Genomic DNA, 19,715 nt, shown 5'->3' with positions numbered 1-19,715 from the left:
ACCCCATCTCTACAAAAAACACAAAAATTATATAGGCATGGTGGTGCGTGTCTGTAATCTGAGCTGCTCGGGGAGCTGAGGCAGGAGAATTGCTTAGTCCAGGAGGTTAAGACTGCAGTGAGTCATGTTAGTACCACTACACTCCACACTCCAGCCTGGGTGACAAAGTGAGACCCTATCTCCAAAAAAAAAAAAAAAAAAAAAAGAATTCATAAGATTAACAATGAGCATCATTAAAACACTATAACAGAAAAGATCAAGAAATAAACACAAAGGAGACATTCAAATCCAAGTTGTCCTCAATCTACAAACTTCTATTAATATTTTTCTTTTATTCTTTTTTTGAGACAGGGTCTCACTTTATCACTCAGGCTGGAGTGAGTGGTGCAATCACAGCTCACTGCAGCCTTTACTTCCCAGCCTTAGGTGATCCTCTGACCTCAGATTCCTGAGTGGCTATGACTACAGGCATGCGCCACAACACCTAGCTAATTTCTGTATTTTTTGTATAGCGGGGGCTTTGCCATGTTGCCCAGGCTGGTCTCAAACTCCTTGGGCCCAAGTGATCCACCCACCTTGGCCTACCAAAGTGCTGGGACTACAGGGGTGAGCCACAGATGTCTGGCTCTAACTGCTATTGTTACTTCTAAAACAGGTATTTGTGAATTCATTTGGAACTTAGAAGAAAAAATTCCTATGGAAACAATGCTAAAAATGGTAGTTAGGTTCCTAGCAGGACCTTGCAGGTCTACTAACCCCCAGGCAGCTGAACCAAAGAACTCTAGCTCCCTGTTGTTTTTGTGGGAAAGCAGTCAAATTCCAACCTGCAACCCAGGATTTTGGAATCTCTCTCTCTTTTCTGACATCATCATCCACCACAACTCCACAGCTTGAGAAACTGGAGTAGAATCCTCCAGTCTCTTCTACTGAGCCAACAGGAAAAAAGAATTCTTTCCCTCATGGTGACAAAAGAAAAAAAAGAATTCTCAGGTACAAACATTAGCAGGAAGGAGGCAGTGACTCATCTATCAGGATGTTCAGACTTTAGTTTTCAGGGCTTGGGAAGGGCCCAAGTCCAGATACTTGCTTCATTTTCTTTCATAATGAATTTCTCATTGCTGCCCTGTGTTTGCTTTTGTTTAAAAGAAATCGCTGTGTTGCTTTTTGATCCTGAGAGACAGCAGGTGTTTTGAATTTTTATTATTCTTGTGAGTAAATGGTAGAATCTGTAAATCCAAGGCTCCTCCTGTTCTTCCTCTTGTCCTTTGTCCTCAAGAGGAAGCTCACTCTGGACAACTTTACCTGAGATACCAGAAACCACACACAGGTTCTACCAGCCACCTTTTAGGATTCTCTGAAGGCATCACCTAAATACAATCTCCTGTATATTATTCTAACAACAACTACTGCCAAAAGTTAACTCAGATCCATTTTTTAAATGTCAAGCCTCAAAAGATTTTCCCCTCCCTCCAAAAACATTAGCATGCAAACGAGTTAGCAGCCACTAATAATTTTTTTTGCTCCAAAATTATTAGCTAATTATAACAATTACTGCATTCTTAGCCTATCAGACCATGCTTTGATCATCCAGAGACAAAGATGTTTCTTGGAACCAATCCACAGGGCAACAAACAGAATCTGTTTTGATTGTTCTTTCTGAAAATCATGTTGCCAATAGTGCTCATCATCATTGCTGACCACTGAGGCTTGGCGCAGATCCAGAACGAATGGTTCCAGCATGCTATCAAGCGTCCTTAGAGGATGAGTTCTCGCCTGGCAACTTTCCCTCTAAAACATTCATAAAACCAAATAAGTGCCACATAAACATATATTCTCTGACACAAGTTTTCACTCATATCTTTCAGAATCCTGAAAATTCTGAGTATATGGGTCTGCATACATTTAAGTGATAAAAAGCATGTCTCCATTTCACAGCACTCTTCTCTAATAAGTATTACATTACAGATTGCCATATTGAGGACAATCTAATAAGACTTATGTGTGAAGGAGGTAAGAAATACCTCCAAAGTTAGCAAAATATTCTCCTTATCTACCACTTGGTTGATATTAATAATTTAAGGCTCTTCCAAACCATATGTGTATCTTTACATTTGAAAATGTCTAGGCATCATCTGGCATTAAAACTTAATCACCACTCAGAAAAGTTTAGTTTGTGTAGGTCAAAGCTTAGTGAACTATTAAAGCAACAAAAGCTTACAGTGGAGTTGTAAAGATTATACTAGACAATATGATGGAAACTTAAAAATTCACTTTAAAACGTATTTACATTCAATCACTTGCCAGTGTATATATTACCCTTGAATCAATTAAATACTTGATGACTGTTGATGTTTATTATGGCAAAAGATTTTCTGACTTCACTGTATTCACTAAATGTACTTGTCATTACATTGTGGTTTTAAACAACTCGATGGCACAAAATATTGCAGATTTTTATCTCATGATTTTTTCTCTTACAGTTTTGGCACATTCTGTTTATGGTAGGGAATGGTAATTCAAGTTAGGGGCAGGGTGTAATAAGAACCATCTGTCCTTTTCCCCATCTGAGTCCTTCTGTCATGAGTAATTGTTGTTACAAAAAAAAAAAAAGTGTACCACCTCCTTCTTGTACTTTGCGAGAGGTTACTAGTCATTCCCTTCTTTTACAATAACGTGCTTAAAATATTACATGCTTAGTTCTCTGTGGCACTAAATATGCAATCTCTGCTATTAGGATTCCAAAGCCTTCCAGTAGACTTCGAGAGACAGGTGGAAGCCATTCTTGTTAATGTCAGAGTCTAACAAAATAGAGACAATATTTAAATGGTTAGTCAAGAATGCTCCACTTTGTATTAAATATCCCAGATGTTTGCTTCATTAGGAATAAAAAAGAACTGAAGAAAAAAAAATATGTATCATGTACAAAGGAGTTTCTAAAGGGTATGAGAAAAATGTTAATATTGCATCAAGGTATGTTCATGATTTACAGAAAATAAGTACCAGGCTGGGCAACATAGGGAGACCTCATATCTACAAAAGATTTTTTTTTTTTTAATTAGCCAGGTGTGGTGGCACTTGCCTGTGGTCCCAAATATTTGGGAGGCTGAGGTAGGAGGATTTCTTGAGCCTGGGGAGGTTGAGGCTGCAGTGAGCCATGATCACACCACTGCACTCCAGCCTGGGTGTCGGAGTGAGGCCTTGTCTCTTAAAAAAAAAAGAAAAAAGAAAACAAGTTAAAAACCTAAATTCATACTTCCTAAAGACTTCTAGCATTATTTAATTTCAGAAGCATTTTTAAGAGAAAGTGAAAAGGATCTGAAGTAGGATTTAATTGTTTCTTGTTTGTTTGTTTTTGAGACGGAGTCTCACTCTGTCACCCAGGCTGGAGTGCAGTGGCACGATCTTGGCCCACTGTAACCTTCGCCTCCCAGGTTCAAGAGATTCTACTGCCTCAGCCTCCCGAGTAGCTGAGACTACAGGCACCCACCACCACGCCTGGCTAATTTTTGTATTTTTAGTAGAGATGGGGTTTCACAACATTGGCCAGGCTAGTCTCGAACTCCTGACCTCAGGTGATCCACCCACCTCAGCCTCCCAAAGTGCTGGGATTATAGGTGTGAGCCACGGCACCCAGCCTAATTGTTTCTTAGAAGAAAAGAAATTCTAGGAGGAACCAACATAAGAGGTAATCTAGGAGATGAAAGATGTGCTCAGAGATGTTGCATTATTAGCCCTAAAGAGGTAGCTCCCAAAAGGATCTACTTTACTTCAAGTGGAAGATTCACCAAGTTAGACTACAATTCTAATTATCATTGCTTTGTAAATAATATGTCTTTTTGGTTTCTTCTCCATCCCAATTTACCTTTTCTATTTTCCATTTCTTCCTTTCTCCAAGTTATGGGTAGTTTTGTCAGTTTTGGCTCATTGAGTCTCACTTCTGCTCTTTTTCTTTTTTTTATTTTTTTATTTTTTATTTATTTATTTATTTATTTTTTAATTATACTTTAAGTTTTAGAGTACATGTGCACAACGTGCAGGTTTGTTACATATGTATGCATGTGCCATGTTGGTGTGCTGCACCCATTAACTCGTCATTTAGCATTAGGTATATCTCCAAATGCTATCCCTCCTCCCTCCCCCGACCCCACAACAGTCCCCGGTGTGTGATGTTCCCCTTCCTGTGTCCATGTGTTCTCATTGTTCAATTCCCACCCCTGAGTGAGAACATGGGGTGTTTGGTTTTTTGTCCTTGTGATAGTTTGCTGAGAATGATGGTTTCCAGTTTCATCCGTGACCCCACAAAGGACATGAACTCATCATTTTTTACGGCTGCATAGTATTCCATGGTGTATATGTGCCACATTTTCTGAATCCAGTCTATCGTTGTTGGACATTTAGGTTGATTCCAAGTCTTTGCTATTGTGAATAGTGCCTCAATAAACATATGTGTGCATGTGTCTTTATAGCAGCATGATTTATAATCCTTTGGGTATATACCCAGTAATGGGATGGCTGGGTCAAATGCTATTTCTAGTTCTAGATCCCTGAGGAATCGCCACACTGACTTCCACAATGGTTGAACTAGTTTACAGTCCCACCAACAGTGGAAAAGTGTCCTATTTCTCCACATCCTCTCCAGCAACTGTTGTTTCCTGACTTTTTAATGATCGCCATTCTAACTGGTGTGAGATGATATCTCATTGTGGTTTTGATTTGCATTTCTCTGATGGCCAGTGATGGTGAGCATTTTTTTCATGTGTTTTTTGGCTGCATAAATGTCTTCTTTTGAGAAGTGTCTGTTCATATCCTTTGCCCACTTTTTGATGGGGTTGTTTGTTTTTTTCTTGTACATTTGTTTGAGTTCATTATAGATTCTGGATATTAGCCCTTTGTCAGATGAGTAGGTTGCAAAAATTTTCTCCCATTCTGTAGGTTGCCTGTTCACTCTGATGGTATTTTCTTTTGCTGTGCAGAAGCTCTTTAGTTTAATTAGATCCCATTTGTCAATTTTGGCTTTTGTTGCCATTGCTTTTGGTGTTTTAGACATGAAGTCTTCTTTTTCTAATTTTCTATTGATACTTAATTTCAATTACTTTTGTTTGTCATTTATAGAAGTTCATTTGATTGGCTGGGCATGGTGGCTCACGCCTGTAATCCCAGTACTTTGGGAGGCCAAGGCGGGTGGATCACCTGAGGTGAGGAGTTTGAGACCAGCCTGGCCAAAATGTCAAACCCCCACCTCTACTAAAAATACAAAAATTAGCCGGGCATGGTGGCGTCCCATCTACTTGGGAGGCTGAGGCAGAATCGCTTGAACCCAGGAGGCGGACATTGCACTCCAGCCTGGGTGACAGAGTGAGACTCCATCTCAAAAAAAATCAAAAGTTCTATTTAATTATTCCTTTCAAACCTATATGTTGGTTTTTTTTTAAATAGATTCTCATTCTGTTCTCACACTTTAGAGTCTTTCTATGTTCTTAATCACATTTATGTTTATTTTATAGTTCCTATCCAGTCGTTCTGTTATCTGAATGTCCTGGGGAACCCATTCCTCCCATGTCTGCTGGCTCTCAGGTATGCTGTACTGCTTTCTTGTATGCTTTATATTCAGAAATATGTGAAAGACCAATTTTTATTGGGATCAGTTTTTTGACTTACAGGTTCCTGGCCCATGCAGATAGTGTAAATCAACAAACCACCACCTGCTTTTATAAAAGTTCTATTGATACACAAACATGCCCGTTTGTTTACACATTGCCTACAGCACCTTCCCTCTGCAAAGGCAGCGCTGAATAGCTATAACAGAGCCTACGTGTACAAAGCTGATAATAGTTATTCTCTGGCCCTTTACAGAAAATATTTGCCAACCCCTGGTATAAATTCAAATCCTAAGCCAGGATAAGAGCAGATATAAGGTTACAAATTCCCAAGAGAGACTGTTTTCTTCCACAGAGGGTCCAAACTGACAAGTTTCTTTGTTGACTTCAAGTGTTAATGAGAAGGGTTGAGATATATATTACTCAACCCTTTAATACTATATATATATATATATATATATATATATATAAAATACACACACGTATGTCATCCCATACATATATAGGATATATGTAATACATGTATACATACATACATATATACACACACACATACATACATTCCACACATTCACTAAGGACATAGCTTTTTGAAGGTTCTGAATTCATGCAGAGGTGTTGGTTTTAGCTCTCTGTCTTGCGTGAGCCCAGGACTCAGTCGTATATCCTGAGGGCATTGAAATCCACACCCCTAGATCTAACAAAGCATATTTCCCTGTGGCACCAGCACATCTTCCATAGGATTGCAGCATCCATAACTCCAATACTCACCACTCTTCATTTTTGTCCCCTGCAGATATCACTTACAAGTCAGGTATGCATTAGTTATTTTCCAGCATTCATAGTGTTTTATGGCAAAATGTTTCTCAAGTTATGTAATATGTCATATTTCTGGGAATTGAAATTTGCGTAAAAGGTAAATGGAATCTTGGAGGACTGCAACATTTTGCCCAAACAATTTTAGAATTTTGAATTAGACAATATCTGTGGAATTATAAAAGTGGAAGCTATTTAGGAGGCTTGAGAAAGAAGTGAACAATGAGGGAAGTAAAGACACATACATAGCCACAAATGATTGGCAGCCACATAGCAGAGAGGACTCTGATATCAGACATGTCTCATTCTGAATCCTAGCTATGTGACCCTTGGAAAAGTTATTTAACTTCTCATAACCTTAACTTTCTTATCTATAAAATGGGGATAATAGGTCTGACATATAGCAAAATCTCAATGACTCTTGGAATCAATGTGAGTGTATTACAATGTCTTAAGATTGTTACCCACTCTCCAGATGACTTCTCTCTACTTTGAAGGAAGGAAAGAACTGTATGTATGTGGCATATTTAACAGGCAATGTTTCTAGTTGAATTTAGTCATTGTCATTGTTTCCATGGCAACTACCTTATTCTGAGAAGAGAGACTTAGGAGATCCTCCCACCTCAGCCTCCCAAGTAGATGGGACAACAGATGCATGCCACCACGCCTGGCTAATTTTTGTATTTTTTGTAGAGAGAGGGTTTCGCCATGCTGCCCAGGCTGGTCTCAAACTCCTGACTGCAAGTGATTTGCCAGCCTTGGCCTCCCAAAGTGCTGGGATTACAGGTGTGAGCCAACACACCCAGCCAAGAAAAATAGTTTTTAAAGAACTGCCTAAATGAATAAATATTTCAAAAGTCTCAATTTTATTTAATATGAAAGGCTGATGAAAAGGTACTCTTCCTTATGGTATGAAACTTAGTTTATGGTGAACTTGTCTAGCTATTTAGAACATTTACTTAGAAGATGGAGAATAGATTCTACCCCATCTCTTCCTTCAAAATAGGTGCTGCCATTTGGTCTCTATTCATTGTCAAATACTCAAAAGCAGCTAGAGTTCTAAAAGAAAATCTGCATAGAGAGGAACTAGCAAGACATCTTTGCTCAAGGGTCTTTCAAAATAAAAGTGCAAATGTATGTGAGTAAGTTTATGTGAACAGGTATAATGTGAAATTCTCTAAAAGGTCCCCTGACCAAATGCATCTTCCCCGTCACCATTCTGCCCAGGGAATGTGGAATTCTGTTTGCAAATAACTGCATGCATTACTAATGCAAAGCTATGGAACCAAATAGAAAACTCAATGTTGGGTTACATTAATATGAGTTGAGAGATAATCAATGCTTCCTTTTATTCCCTCAATACACATGTGTATTCTTTCCATATGTGGAAATTGATTTAAAAAATCTATACAACTTCACAGGTGAAAGACAGACAGTAGTCTCAATGGAATTAGACTAAGGCCTTTTAATGAAAACGATTTAAAAACATATAAATATATGCATATATAAAGTTTATATGTATAAAACTTTTAATAATTAATGTAGTTTTCACAAAATTTGGGGTATTTAATATTTTTCAGACATTAAAATAGAATTTGGGAGAGGAAACCATAGACATTGTAAGTGTTAGGGGAAAAGTTAACATGAAATACGGTGATGCTTTTTCAAGCAATCTTGTTGACCATTTTTGAGTAAGAGGAAAAATACGAATCATCTGCATTTCTTTCAAACAAGAAACAGTGAAGAATTTCAAGAATATTACTGACATCGGAAATGTGATTTTACTTAGTAATCCTTTTCTAGCCTACTTGGCTTGCTATTTTTCACATTAAAATGGAAGATGTTGGCTAGTCTGAAGGTGATGAGTTATGTCAACTGATTGTTCATAGTCAAACTCCTTGTTCTACTCTTTCTCCTCTTCTCACTACTGCACTTGACTAGTCTTAAAAAAATAATAATAATAATAAATAAAAATAAAATGGAAGATGTGGAAGAAATGGAGACATTTATTTTATTTTGTTTTGTTTTGTTTTGAGATGGAGTCTCACTCTGTCACCCAGGCTGGAGTGCAGTGGCGCCATCTCAGCTCACTGCAAACTCCACCTCCTGGCTTCAAGTGATTCTCCTGCCTCAGCCTCCTGAGTAGCTGCGATTACAGGCATGAGCTACCACGCCCAGCCAAGAGATTTGTTTTGAACATTAAAATGAGCATTGAGAGAGAACAGCAATAAAGCTACTAATAAATTGTTTTTGTTTCCCTACATGTCTTTTTTAGAAAGATTTTAGAAACAATTCCTTTGAAGTATCTTAAAATTTCCTCATACGTTTTTCTGGCTCCACATGATCCTTTTACCCTGGTAAATATGAAGAATGCAAACCCATGAGCCACTGAACATTAATCACTCCATTGTAACCATTGCTCAAACCAATTTTGTTGATTCAAAAAATATTCTCTGTTCGTCTTACTATTCATTATTTATTCATCAACTCATTAATAATATATAGTGATAAATTACAAATACCAAAGTTAACACGCTTTCGGCCGTCTTTTGATATTATCCTTGTAAGTACTTAAATAAACAAATAAAAACTAAAGCTTTAGGAATGAACTCTCAATGAAAAGAGCCAAGGAAAATACCAGTCTCTTAAAGATTGTTTTATTTTTATTTATTTATTTATTTATTTATTTATTTTGAGACAGGATTTTGCTCTGTTGCCCAGTCTGGAGTGCAGTGGCACGATTTCAGCTCACTGCAAATTCTGCTTCCCGGGTTCAAGTGATCCTCCTGCCTTAGCCTCCTGGGTAGCTGGGACCACAGGCATGTGCCACCACACCTGGCTAATTTTTATAGAGAAGGCGTTTCACCATGTTGGCCATGCTGGTCTCGAACTCCTGAGCTCAAGTGATCCTCCTGTCTCGGTCTCCCAAAGTGCTGGGATTACAGGCGTGAGCCACCATGCCCGGCCCAAGATAAGTTTGTTTTTAGAACACAGTGAGCTAAATAACCTACTGAGTCAGTGGAGGTTTTATTAATTTTGTAAGCCTCTCCTATTTTTGCTTAGTGTCTTCTCTTTTGTTGGTCTTTAAAATGAAAGCATTGAAACTGTATTGTGAAGCCACCCTAACATCTTATTCTGTAATTATCATTGTGAGGTTGAGTAAATAGAACTAAACTTACACCAAATGATAGTGTCTTTATACAGTCTGTCTTATTAACTTATTTGAGATAGAGACCATTTAAAAATGCAATCAGACTCCTGCTGGGCTCATGCCTGTAATCCCGGCTCTTTGGAAGGCTGAGATGGGTGTATCCGTTGAGCCCAGGAGTTTGAGACCAACCTGAGCAACATGGCAAAAACCCTGCCTCTACAAAAAAAAAAAAAAAAATTAGCCAGGCCTGGTGGTGCACACCTGTAGTCTTAGCTACTTGGGAGGCTGAGATGGGAGGATTGCTTAAGCCTGGAAGGCGGAGGTTGTAGTGAGTTGAGATCGTGCCACTGCACTCCAGCCTGGGTGACAGAGAGAGAGAGAGAGAGAGAGAGAGACCCTGTTTCAAAAAAAAATGCAATCAGCCTGAATGAACTTGGGGCAAACAGATCAACATTGTAGACAGGAAATCACAAGAAGCTTTCAAGACTAGTCAAGAGTCAGGTGAGGTGATAAAGGGTTTTGAAACCTCACTTTACACAGTAAGAGTTAAAAGAAAGAGTGAATGGAATGTGGGGAAGCTTTGGGTTTTGAAACTAGGCACCACAACCTGAGTTCAAGTCTCAGTTAATCTTCCTGAGAGTCAATTATCTTACCTGAAAAGGGGGCATAGTTAAATCTTTTACATATATGTAAATACCCATTCCATCATAATGGCTAGCATATGATAGGTGTTTTAAAATAGTGGCCCATAGTAGTAATAAAGGAAAAATATTAAAGCAATTAACATAAAAACTAAAGCCAATTACCTTAGTTTCAAATCTATGTAACCCTTGCTTTCTAGGCAGCCTGCCAGGGAACAATCAAGAGGTAACTACTACAAAAATAATGAAAATAGTCTCTGCTTTTTAGCTGCTCACAGTGGAATCGGGGATAAGACATCCCCTCCTTCTAACCCCTGGTAGGGTCCCATGGTAGTCCTGTCTCTTTTTGGCAGCCAGTTAGGTTCTGCTGAGGTCTAGCTCCCGACACACACGTGGCATTTGTACAGTCACTCATTGCTCCTGCAAACAAGGCTGTACTGTTCCCACTGCTGCTGGTTTCTCTGGTCACTGCCAACCTTTATACCATCACTATGGATGGCTGCTGGTGCTCACGCTATCACTCAGTACTGCCATGCTCTCCCCAGCAGGGATAAGACATTCGCAGTTTTCCCAGAGGGAAGCCTCCAGTTTCCATGGTGCTCCTGCTGTTTCAGCTCTATCTTTTTTTTTTTTTTTTAATTGAGACTGAGTCTCGCTCTGTCGCCCAGGCTGGAGTGCAGTGGTGCAATCTCAGCTCACTGCAACCTCTGCCACCCAGGTTCAAGCAATTCTCATGTCTTAGTGTCTCAAGCAGCTGGGACTACAGGCATGTGCCACCACCCCCAGCTAATTTTTTTTGTATTTTTAGTACAGATGGGGTTTCACCATGTTGGCCAGGCTGTTCTTGAACTCCTGACCTCAGGTGATACGCCTGCCTCGGCCTCCCAAAGTGCTGGGATTACAGGTGTGAGCCACTATGCCCAGCCCATCTCTATCTTTTAAGTGTTCACTTCTTTACAAACCATCATTTTGGCTCAAAGGATAAATGGAGGCGCCCATGCCATGTGTCTCCCACCCACCATGAACCAGTGTCCCAGGATACAGTGAAGGGCCAACAGTGTTCCTGGTCTCGGGGTAAGGCAAGTACATGTGTTTTCTGAAAGGTGGGCTGAGGACTGTAGGCATTGGGTCTGAAGGTGATGAGGGGACAGGGAACAAAAATACAGGACTGGGGCCAGCTCTCACAGTTGAAGGTGTGTGAGGTGAGGGTGGTGAGGTTTTTCCAATAGAGGCCAAACTTCAGGGTTCCAGGTTTTTTTCTGCTGTTTTCTGGCTATATTCCTTTCCCTCCAATTTGTTTACCATAGTCAGTATTCAGCTATGTTACATATATATATATATGTATATATATATATATTTTTTTTTTTGAGATAGGGTCTCACTCTGTTGCCCAGGCTAGAGTGCAGTGGTGCAGTCTTAGCTCACTGCAGCCTTGACCTCCTGAACTCAGGTGATCCTCCCACCTCAGCCTCCCAAGTAGCTGGAACTATAGGTGCATGCAACCACAGCCAGCTAATTTATATATTTTTTCTTAATATAGGATTTTGCCATGTTGCCTAGACTGGTCTTGAACTTCTGGGCTCAAGTGATCTGCCTGCCTCGGCCTCCCAAAGTGCTGGCACTATAGGCGGGAGCCACGGCACCCAGCCTATGCTATATATACTTAATACTACTCTATGAATGGTAATTTAAAATTAGAATTTACATAAGGTTAAGCTATTTCACAAATAGGGTTTATGGCATTTAGTTTGCTCTGTACAGGATTAAACACCAGGATGACACTGTGGTCTCCATCTCTCTGGCCACCTCAAAGCCTCTCAGATTTTTAAGTGTTAACCATAGCTCCTTCAACCTACAACTATCAGAAAATGCTTTATCTTCCTGGCGTACACCATCCTTACCTACTATTCTGTGTTCAGGCCACCATCGTTACTAACACTCTTCCAGTGTCTGGGAAACAATCATTTTTCCTGTGTAGTCACCAGCTCTAAACACTAAACTTCTGTTTTCTGACTCCACTGACAGTAGATTACATCTGCCTTAACAGCCAGGTCCAGGGCTGCCACTCTAGGCTGGGCGCCACTTTAGTTCCTGATGTTGGCAGCAAGTACAATGACCTCATTTGGAACTTAGTATTATTGGACTGGCAGGGAAGCAGTGCTGCTCCCCTCCCCACTAGGCCTCTGAATCCGTGTCCCTCTTTGTCCAATCCTGGTAATTGAACTCCTCACTAAAGTTCCAATTCTTGAGTCAATTTTCTTATCTGACCCAGCTGGTAAAACTGGAAATCTGTCTTGGTTCCTATTCTGGAAACCTCAGGATATATTAGAATTCTACTGGAAATTCACTCGGCCCACTCAATGGCTGGTGCACTGCACACAACAGTCAGGTATGCCAGGAGTCCTGGAAACCCCATCCACGGTAGGACTCACCATTCTGTGCCCTGAGTGCCTGGTGGGACTTCTGCTGCTTTGCCTTAGAGCTGCATATGCCTCCCCATGACTGGAAAGCATTCTTGTGTTTGGCCCCTGTGCTTTCTCTCACCCCAAAGAATCGTGAGGTCAGCCCCTATAGCCAAGCACAGTCCCCTGAGCATCCACATCCCTCTCATGGGGAAGGACAGCATGCTCCAGGCCTTTGCCTCATTTTTTAGGAGTCAGCCTGCCATGTCTCATCAATTAATCCTTTGATGCTCTTCTTTCCCTGTTCAGACATTATCTCCTTTCCAATACCCCAGGGATCACTTCACAAAACTCACCTGCATTTTAAAATTAACTCAGCCTGAGTGTGGTGGCTCACACCTGTAATCCTAGCACTTTGGGAGGCTGAGGCTGGTGGATCCCTTGAGTTCAGGAGCTTGAGACCAGCCTGGGCAACATAGCAAGACCCTGTCTCTACAAAAAATTAAAAAATTATCTGAGTTTGGTGGTGCACACCTGTAACCCCAGTTACTTGGGAGGCTGAGGCCATAGGACAGCTTGAGCCCAGGAGATGGAGGCTGCAGTGAGGCACATTTGTGCCATTGCACTTCAGCCTGGGTGAGAGTGAGACTGTCTCAAAAAATAAATGAATAAATTAAATAAAATAAACTCTATCTGCTCTATAGTACATTAAAAATATTTGATTCCATATTTTATCACTCTTAAATTCACATTCATATTTTAGGATACAGAACCTTAGAAAAACTTGCTTTCTGGGGTCTGGGACAAAAATAGACTTCAACCCCCAGCCTCGTATAGAGTCCCATGGCACAGGGAAATGTCATCTCATACTTTGCAGCTCCTATGGATCTAACCACCAGCATGCTTCAACTTGTGCTATTGTCTTTTCTGTTTTTGTTCATTTTACTAAGCCATCCTATGATATGTCTGCATTCCTGCTGTACATTTTAGAATTTAAGCTCTCACAGATTGTGTCTATGTTCAAGGTGAATTATTTTATCAAGTACCTATCACAACGACATTTGCACTCAGATTTTTTTACCTACTGTATTTTCATTATAATAGTTATCCTAAAATTAAAGTAGGAATTACATGCCATTTGTGGATCAGTATTTTACTTTATGTAAAACTGTAAAGATAATGGGTATGAAAGTGCTTTGTAAAATATTATTATTACAGTTATTCTTGTATTATTTCATTTTCATAAATGTGCCAGTTAAAATAAAAAAGGTATCTTATTCTCAATATTATAATTATGCTTTTAAATAGAAATAAGCCACTTTTACCCATGCTTCCATTATTTCTTTTGTAGCTATTTATGTTCTTTCTTTTCCTGTAATAGCTGTGAATTTCTAGATTGATAGTCATAGAACCATACACCTTTTAAAAGAGACTTCAGAGCTCTTATCTATTTATTTGCCTTTAGGTAGAGTTGCCCTTAAACCTATTCAGACAGATGAAGATGTACACAATTGAAAAAGTATAATGTGAATGTTTTACCAATTATAAAAATGACATACATTTTTATAAGAAAAGAAGTCCCATATCTTCCTTTCATTCAATGTCAAATACTTCTGGCTTAACAATATAAACACTCAGTAATCAAGGGCAACACAAAACAATATATAACCAAAAACTATTTCTTTTGCTAGTACTTGGCATAAAAATTGCACATTGTGATTTGATATTGCTGTTCTTGGTGATGGATTTCCTGTCCCCTTTCACCCTAGTTGCTTCTGCCTGCAGACATGACATTTAGAAAATAATACTATTAAAAAATGTTCAAAACAACCGTAACAAGAATTTTAAAGAAAAAAAAAAAAAGCCCAGCAAATACAATTGCCATTTTCTGGCCTAGTGCAGCGGCTCACGCCTGATAATCCCAGCATTTTAGGAGATCTACACGGTGGATCACTTCAGCCCAAGAGTTCAAGACCAGCCTGGGCAACATGGTGAAAGCTCTACAAAAATTACAAAAATTAGCCAGGCATGGTGGCATGCAGCTCGGATCCCAGCTACTTGGGAGGCTGAGGTGGGAGGATTGATTGAGCCTGGGAGGTTGAGGCTGCGGTGAGCCGAGATCCCACCACTGCACTCCAGCCTGGGCTACAGAGTGAGCCCCTGTCTCAAACAAACAAACAAACAACCAACTTACAATTGCCATTTTCTACTTTACTCTCCTGTAGCTACTAATACATGTGATGATTTTAAAAATTATAATCATGTACTCAAAATTTTTTGTATAACATTACTTTATAAATATTTCTATATTCTGACACGTTGCTGATGTTTTTCATTTTAATACATTTATAATATTTTATTTGGTAAACATGCCATTTATTTTCTATTATTATATAATGAGGCAATAAACATATTTGGTCACACATTTTCTCCAATTGAAATCTCTCTTTATAAAAATTTTCAAAAATGAACATTTTTGAGACTTGATCTACAGTTTCAAATTACTTTCCAAGTGATTCTTCTGATTTCTCTACCATCAGCCATGCATGAGTGCTCTAGCACTGTATGTTTCAGTGATTTTAATTTGTACTAAATTTGGAATAGGTGTCCTTGATGTAATTAATCTTTTGGGAACCAAATAAAGGGAGAAAAAATGTACTGTAGCTGCTGCACACATTAGATTATAAAAAAACTCAGATTAATTTCAGACTATTAGACAATGATCTAAAGTGTTATATCAGATGATCAGTTGCCAGATATATTAAAAGGGCAGTCACGAAATGAGAGCTACTGTTCCTTGCCTGCTAACTGTCCCATCTGGGCCCCTTGCCCTCTAAAGAGGCCCTTTGATAAAAACTGATCATTTTAATGATAGTTCTCTCTTTTCTGATTTAATTGTGTATCTCCCTTGCTGAAAAGAGTTTCAGTGGCTCCCATTGTCCATAGATAAATTCCAAATCCTAAATCCGGGGTCTAAGGCAATAGAAAAAATGCACAGAACATTTGTACCCTGACAGGGGGACAAGGTGGGCAGTCAGAGGACCTGGGTTCAAGTCCCATCCGTGTGCTAATATTTAACCTTTCACTTTGCTTATCTGTGCAAGGAGAAGAATAGTATCTATTTTACAAAGCTGTTTAGAAGATTACATGAGAATTCATTTGAAGAAGCTCAGCATAGAATGAACGGCCTACTTCATGTGAATTCCTTTCTTTCTTTCCTCCTTAATCTGGGTTCAGCCTTTGTTACTCCAGCCCATGGATCCCCACCCCACTTGTTGCTTTTCTGTTTCTGTACCTCTGCTCATTCTATTTTCCCTATCAAATTCTTGTTCTTCACATCTTCAAAATCCTATAGAAGATCTACATAGGAAGCCTTTCCAGCTTGATCTCTCCTACTAAAACAAACTCCTCATGCACTACCATCTCCTTCTAGCATTTATCTTAGTTTGCTGCATGCAAGAGTCACGTCCTTTGGAAATGAAGTCCATGCCTCGATGTTCTTTGTATCCCTACATCACTCTGATGTAATACCTGGCAAAAAATAAGCAACTGTTTATTGTTGGTTTTATTTAATTCTGTCTTATACTTTATGCTTTTTTCTACTGCTCTCCCTCCTCTGCCTTTATTTTTTTATATTTTATATGCACTGACATTCCACACTCAGCACATCCACCGTGAACAATAGAGGTGGAAGACTGTGAACTTCCCCTACCCTCCAAACAGGCATACAAAAATTTGAATAAGTAAATGAAATGATAGCTTTAAGGAAAGCGGGGAAGAGAACAAATCTGTCAAAGAAACAGTGTTTGCATGTCTAAATCTGTCTGTTTTGGGATGTAAGCCAAAGTCAGGGGTCCAAGACTATTTCCATTCTATTGCATTCCATCTATTATTTATATAGTGCATATTGCTATAGTCTCTAAGCACTTTCAAATGAAATACAACATACCTTTGGGAGTGAAAAAGGAAATGAGGAACTGGGAGGAGGGGGAGGTGTTGGAACATTGGTTATCATTTTGAGCATGGTAAGGTCTGAAGCTAAGACAAGCGGCTCCTCCTCTCTTGACACAGGTGTGAATAACTTATTGTTCAGTATCTGTGGCATACATTTACATTTGTGAGCTGGAGGCCAAGCTTTGCAGTAAAAGCTTTCTTTATCCTTTGCTTTAAAAACGCACACTCCTCAGGGAAGAAGGACCCCCTATTTCCCTAGTATCCACCCTGAAATTCAAAACCCTATCAGAACATAATTGCTATCAGTGTTCACCACATCAGCCTCACTCTTCGTGTTTTTGTTTTTCGTTTTTTATATTTGTTTATTTATTTATTTATTTATTTTTGAGACAGGGTCTTACTCTGTCACCCAGGCTGGAGTGCAGTGGCATAATCTTGTCTCACTGCAGCTTCAACTTCCTGGGCTCAAGTGATCCTCCAGCCTCAGCTCCTCAATTAGCTGGGACTACAGGCACACACCACCACGCCCAGCTAATTTTCGTATTTTTTTTGGAGAGATGCGGTTTTGCCCGGTTGCCCAGGCTGGTCTCAAACTCTTGAACTCAAGCAATCTGCCTGCTTTGCCTTGGCCTCCCAAAGTGCTGGGAATACAGGGGTGAGCCACTGCACCCGGCCTGTTTTTCATTTTTTAAAAGTTCTTGTGGCAACAGAGACTACAAATGCTAAAGCTTCTGCATGCTGAGTTTTGCTCATATGGTTCAGTTTCCCATGACATTTGTAAATTCTCAAAACACAGAAGAAAAGAAAAGAGTCAGGTGGTGTCCTCAAACACTTATAGAGCACCCTATGTCTCTCCAGGCAGCGCCACAGATACATAGACAGTAGAGGTTCAATACATGCTTTTCCTGTCACTGAATTCTTCAGGTAGTTCCTTATAACCTGCTCTTATTAAGGAGGTCTAAGGAAGCCTTGAGATCTCTCCAGAAATAGAAAAGCATCCAAAAGCTTTGACACCAGCCTCCAATATTTCTGATGGCTTTAAAGGACGTCTTTAGGACAGGCAGGGGGCCTTGATAAGGCTTTCTAGTTATAAGTCATGCAGACTTCCTTGCAGAAGCCTCAGATGGGGGGAATAAGTTAAATACAGCTGCTTCAGCCTGGGGTGCTCGATATTGTCTTTAATGATTAAAAATGCTGACTCCAGTGGGAGCAGAGCACATGCTGCAGAGATTATTATGGTTTGAAGCATTTTCTATGTGAGTGGCAAGGGGCAGGGTGGGAGGGGTTGGGGAGGAAGACCATGAAAGATAGTGCATTGAGCAGCTGAGCTGGTGGAGGACAGAGGCAAGCAGGAGAAGGTCTGGAAAGGGGATGGCCACTGTCCTCAGGAGCAAAGTTTTAAAAACTGAAGTCTCAAGTTGTTTTCCATTTTGTGTGTAGCGCCCACCATCCAGTGAAGAATGTTAAAGACAATGGCTTTCTGTTAGCAGTGCACTGAGGGATAGGAGGGAAGCACGTGTCTGTGCTCTGGAGGAAAGTGGACTGGGGAGAGGTGTGAGCACGAGAGGTGATGGAGGAAAAGGCTTCCAGTGTGGTGGGGAGTGAGAGGGGACAGTGGCAGCCAAAATGGGCTTGTGGAACTTGTCAACATGATCCCTGGCTTCTCAGAAATCCTAGGAGTTAGGGCTACATTTCCTGCATCCATGCAAGATGGAGGAGGGGAGGTCATTATGATATGATTTTTAAGGAAAGACTTGAGCTGGAATAATGATAAACTAATTGGAAAAAAATTGCTGAAATAGTCTGGGCACCGTGGTTCACAACCACCCAACACTTTGTAATCCCAACACTTTGGGAGGTCAAGGCGGGAGGTTCACCTGAGGACAGGAGTTCAAGAACAGTCTGGGCAACATAGTGAGACCCTGTCTCTACAAAAATAAAAAAAAATTAACCAGGTGTAATGGCATGCACCTGTAGTCCCAGCTATTCAGAGGCTGAGGAGGTGAAGCAGGAAGACTGCTTGAGTCCAGGCATTAGGAGACTGCAGTGAGTGACGATTGCACCACTATACTCCAGCCTGGGCAAAAAAACAAGATTCCATCTCTTTAAAAAATGAATTGCTGAAATCTGGATTTGTTTATTTTCTTTTCTTTCTCTTTCTCTCTTTTTTTTTTTTTGAGACAAGTTTCACTATGTTGCCCAGCCTGGTTTATTCTTGGGTTCAAGCAATCCTCCCACCTCAGCCTCCCAAAGTGCTGAGATTACAGGTATGAACCACTGTGCTCAGTCTTGGATTTGTTTCTAATTGAAGGAAAGAAAGAAAAAGAAGAGGAAAGAAAGAAGAGGAAGGAAGGAGGGAGGGAGGAAGAAAAGAAGGAAGGGAAATCTCTGCCAACCTTATACCACCCATGGATTCAGTCTGCTTAGAATGGCTCCTACAGAATGGACTAGTAAGGTCCATATCTCCCAGGAATGACTTAAAATGATGGGGTGGTAGAAGGGAACTCAGAAACAAAACACACATTGAGTTTTCAGAAGGCACCAAAAGATCCTGGAAGAGACCTAAAATAGGAAGGCACGGGCTAGGGGAAACTAAGAATGTGAGGTGTGGGGTTCATGGCTAGGGGACCCTACCGGCCCACAGCCATCCTTGTATTCTCCTAGGTGTAACTCAACCTAGGTGCATTTGTAACTCAATATATTACCCATCCGTGTATGCTTGTATTTTAAAAGGGGGAGCATCAAGTAGATACCATTTAACCCAAAAGAATGAACCCAGAAAAACTAGCAGCCATGTAGTCGATACTGTCACTCAAATCATATTTTAAAAAATAATAGTCGGCCGGGCGCGGTGGCTCACGCCTGTAATCCCAGCACTTTGGGAGGCCGAGGCGGGCGGATCACGAGGTCAGGAGATCGAGACCATCCCGGCTAAAACGGTGAAACCCCGTCTCTACTAAAAATACAAAAAATTAGCCGGGCGTAGTGGCGGGCGCCTGTAGTCCCAGCTACTTGGGAGGCTGAGGCAGGAGAATGGCGTGAACCCGGGAGGCGGAGCTTGCAGTGAGCCGAGATCCCGCCACTGCACTCCAGCCTGGGCGACAGAGCGAGACTCCGTCTCAAAAAAAAAAAAAAAAAAATAATAATAATAATA

At 40.3% G+C, this 19,715-nt stretch overlaps 1 protein-coding gene across 2 annotated transcripts in view, besides 1 other annotated feature; it reads left to right on the top strand.

Annotated features, from left to right (window-relative positions):
- SPMIP2 (sperm microtubule inner protein 2) overlaps nt 1–19,715 on the top strand; it is a 189,752-nt gene that overhangs the window by 10,229 nt on the left and 159,808 nt on the right. The window contains exons 1-2 of one of the 2 annotated variants that reach the window (XM_011531672.4): nt 768–990; nt 5,505–5,574. In XM_011531672.4, the coding sequence (XP_011529974.1) occupies nt 5,532–5,574 (43 nt within the window). In that variant the 5' untranslated portion in view covers nt 768–990; nt 5,505–5,531. Of the gene's footprint in view, nt 1–767; nt 991–5,504; nt 5,575–19,715 lie in introns of those variants that run through there. The other variant, XM_011531671.3, reaches the window with a different exon arrangement.
- Nucleotides 786–1,080: a silencer, noted in NCBI's record as "tiled region #3178; HepG2 Repressive DNase matched - State 8:EnhW, and K562 Repressive DNase unmatched - State 23:Low". NCBI's record gives its function as "represses a minimal TATA promoter and a strong SV40 promoter by Sharpr-MPRA in HepG2 and K562 cells {active_cell/tissue: HepG2 | K562}" and the evidence as "EXISTENCE:reporter gene assay evidence [ECO:0000049][PMID:27701403]".

Source organism: Homo sapiens, chromosome 4 (assembly GCF_000001405.40).
Source record: "Homo sapiens chromosome 4, GRCh38.p14 Primary Assembly".
NCBI classification, from domain to species: Eukaryota; Metazoa; Chordata; class Mammalia; order Primates; family Hominidae; genus Homo; species Homo sapiens.
The sequence above is the reverse complement of the archived record's forward strand: the minus strand, read 5'-3'. Positions and strand labels throughout refer to the sequence as shown.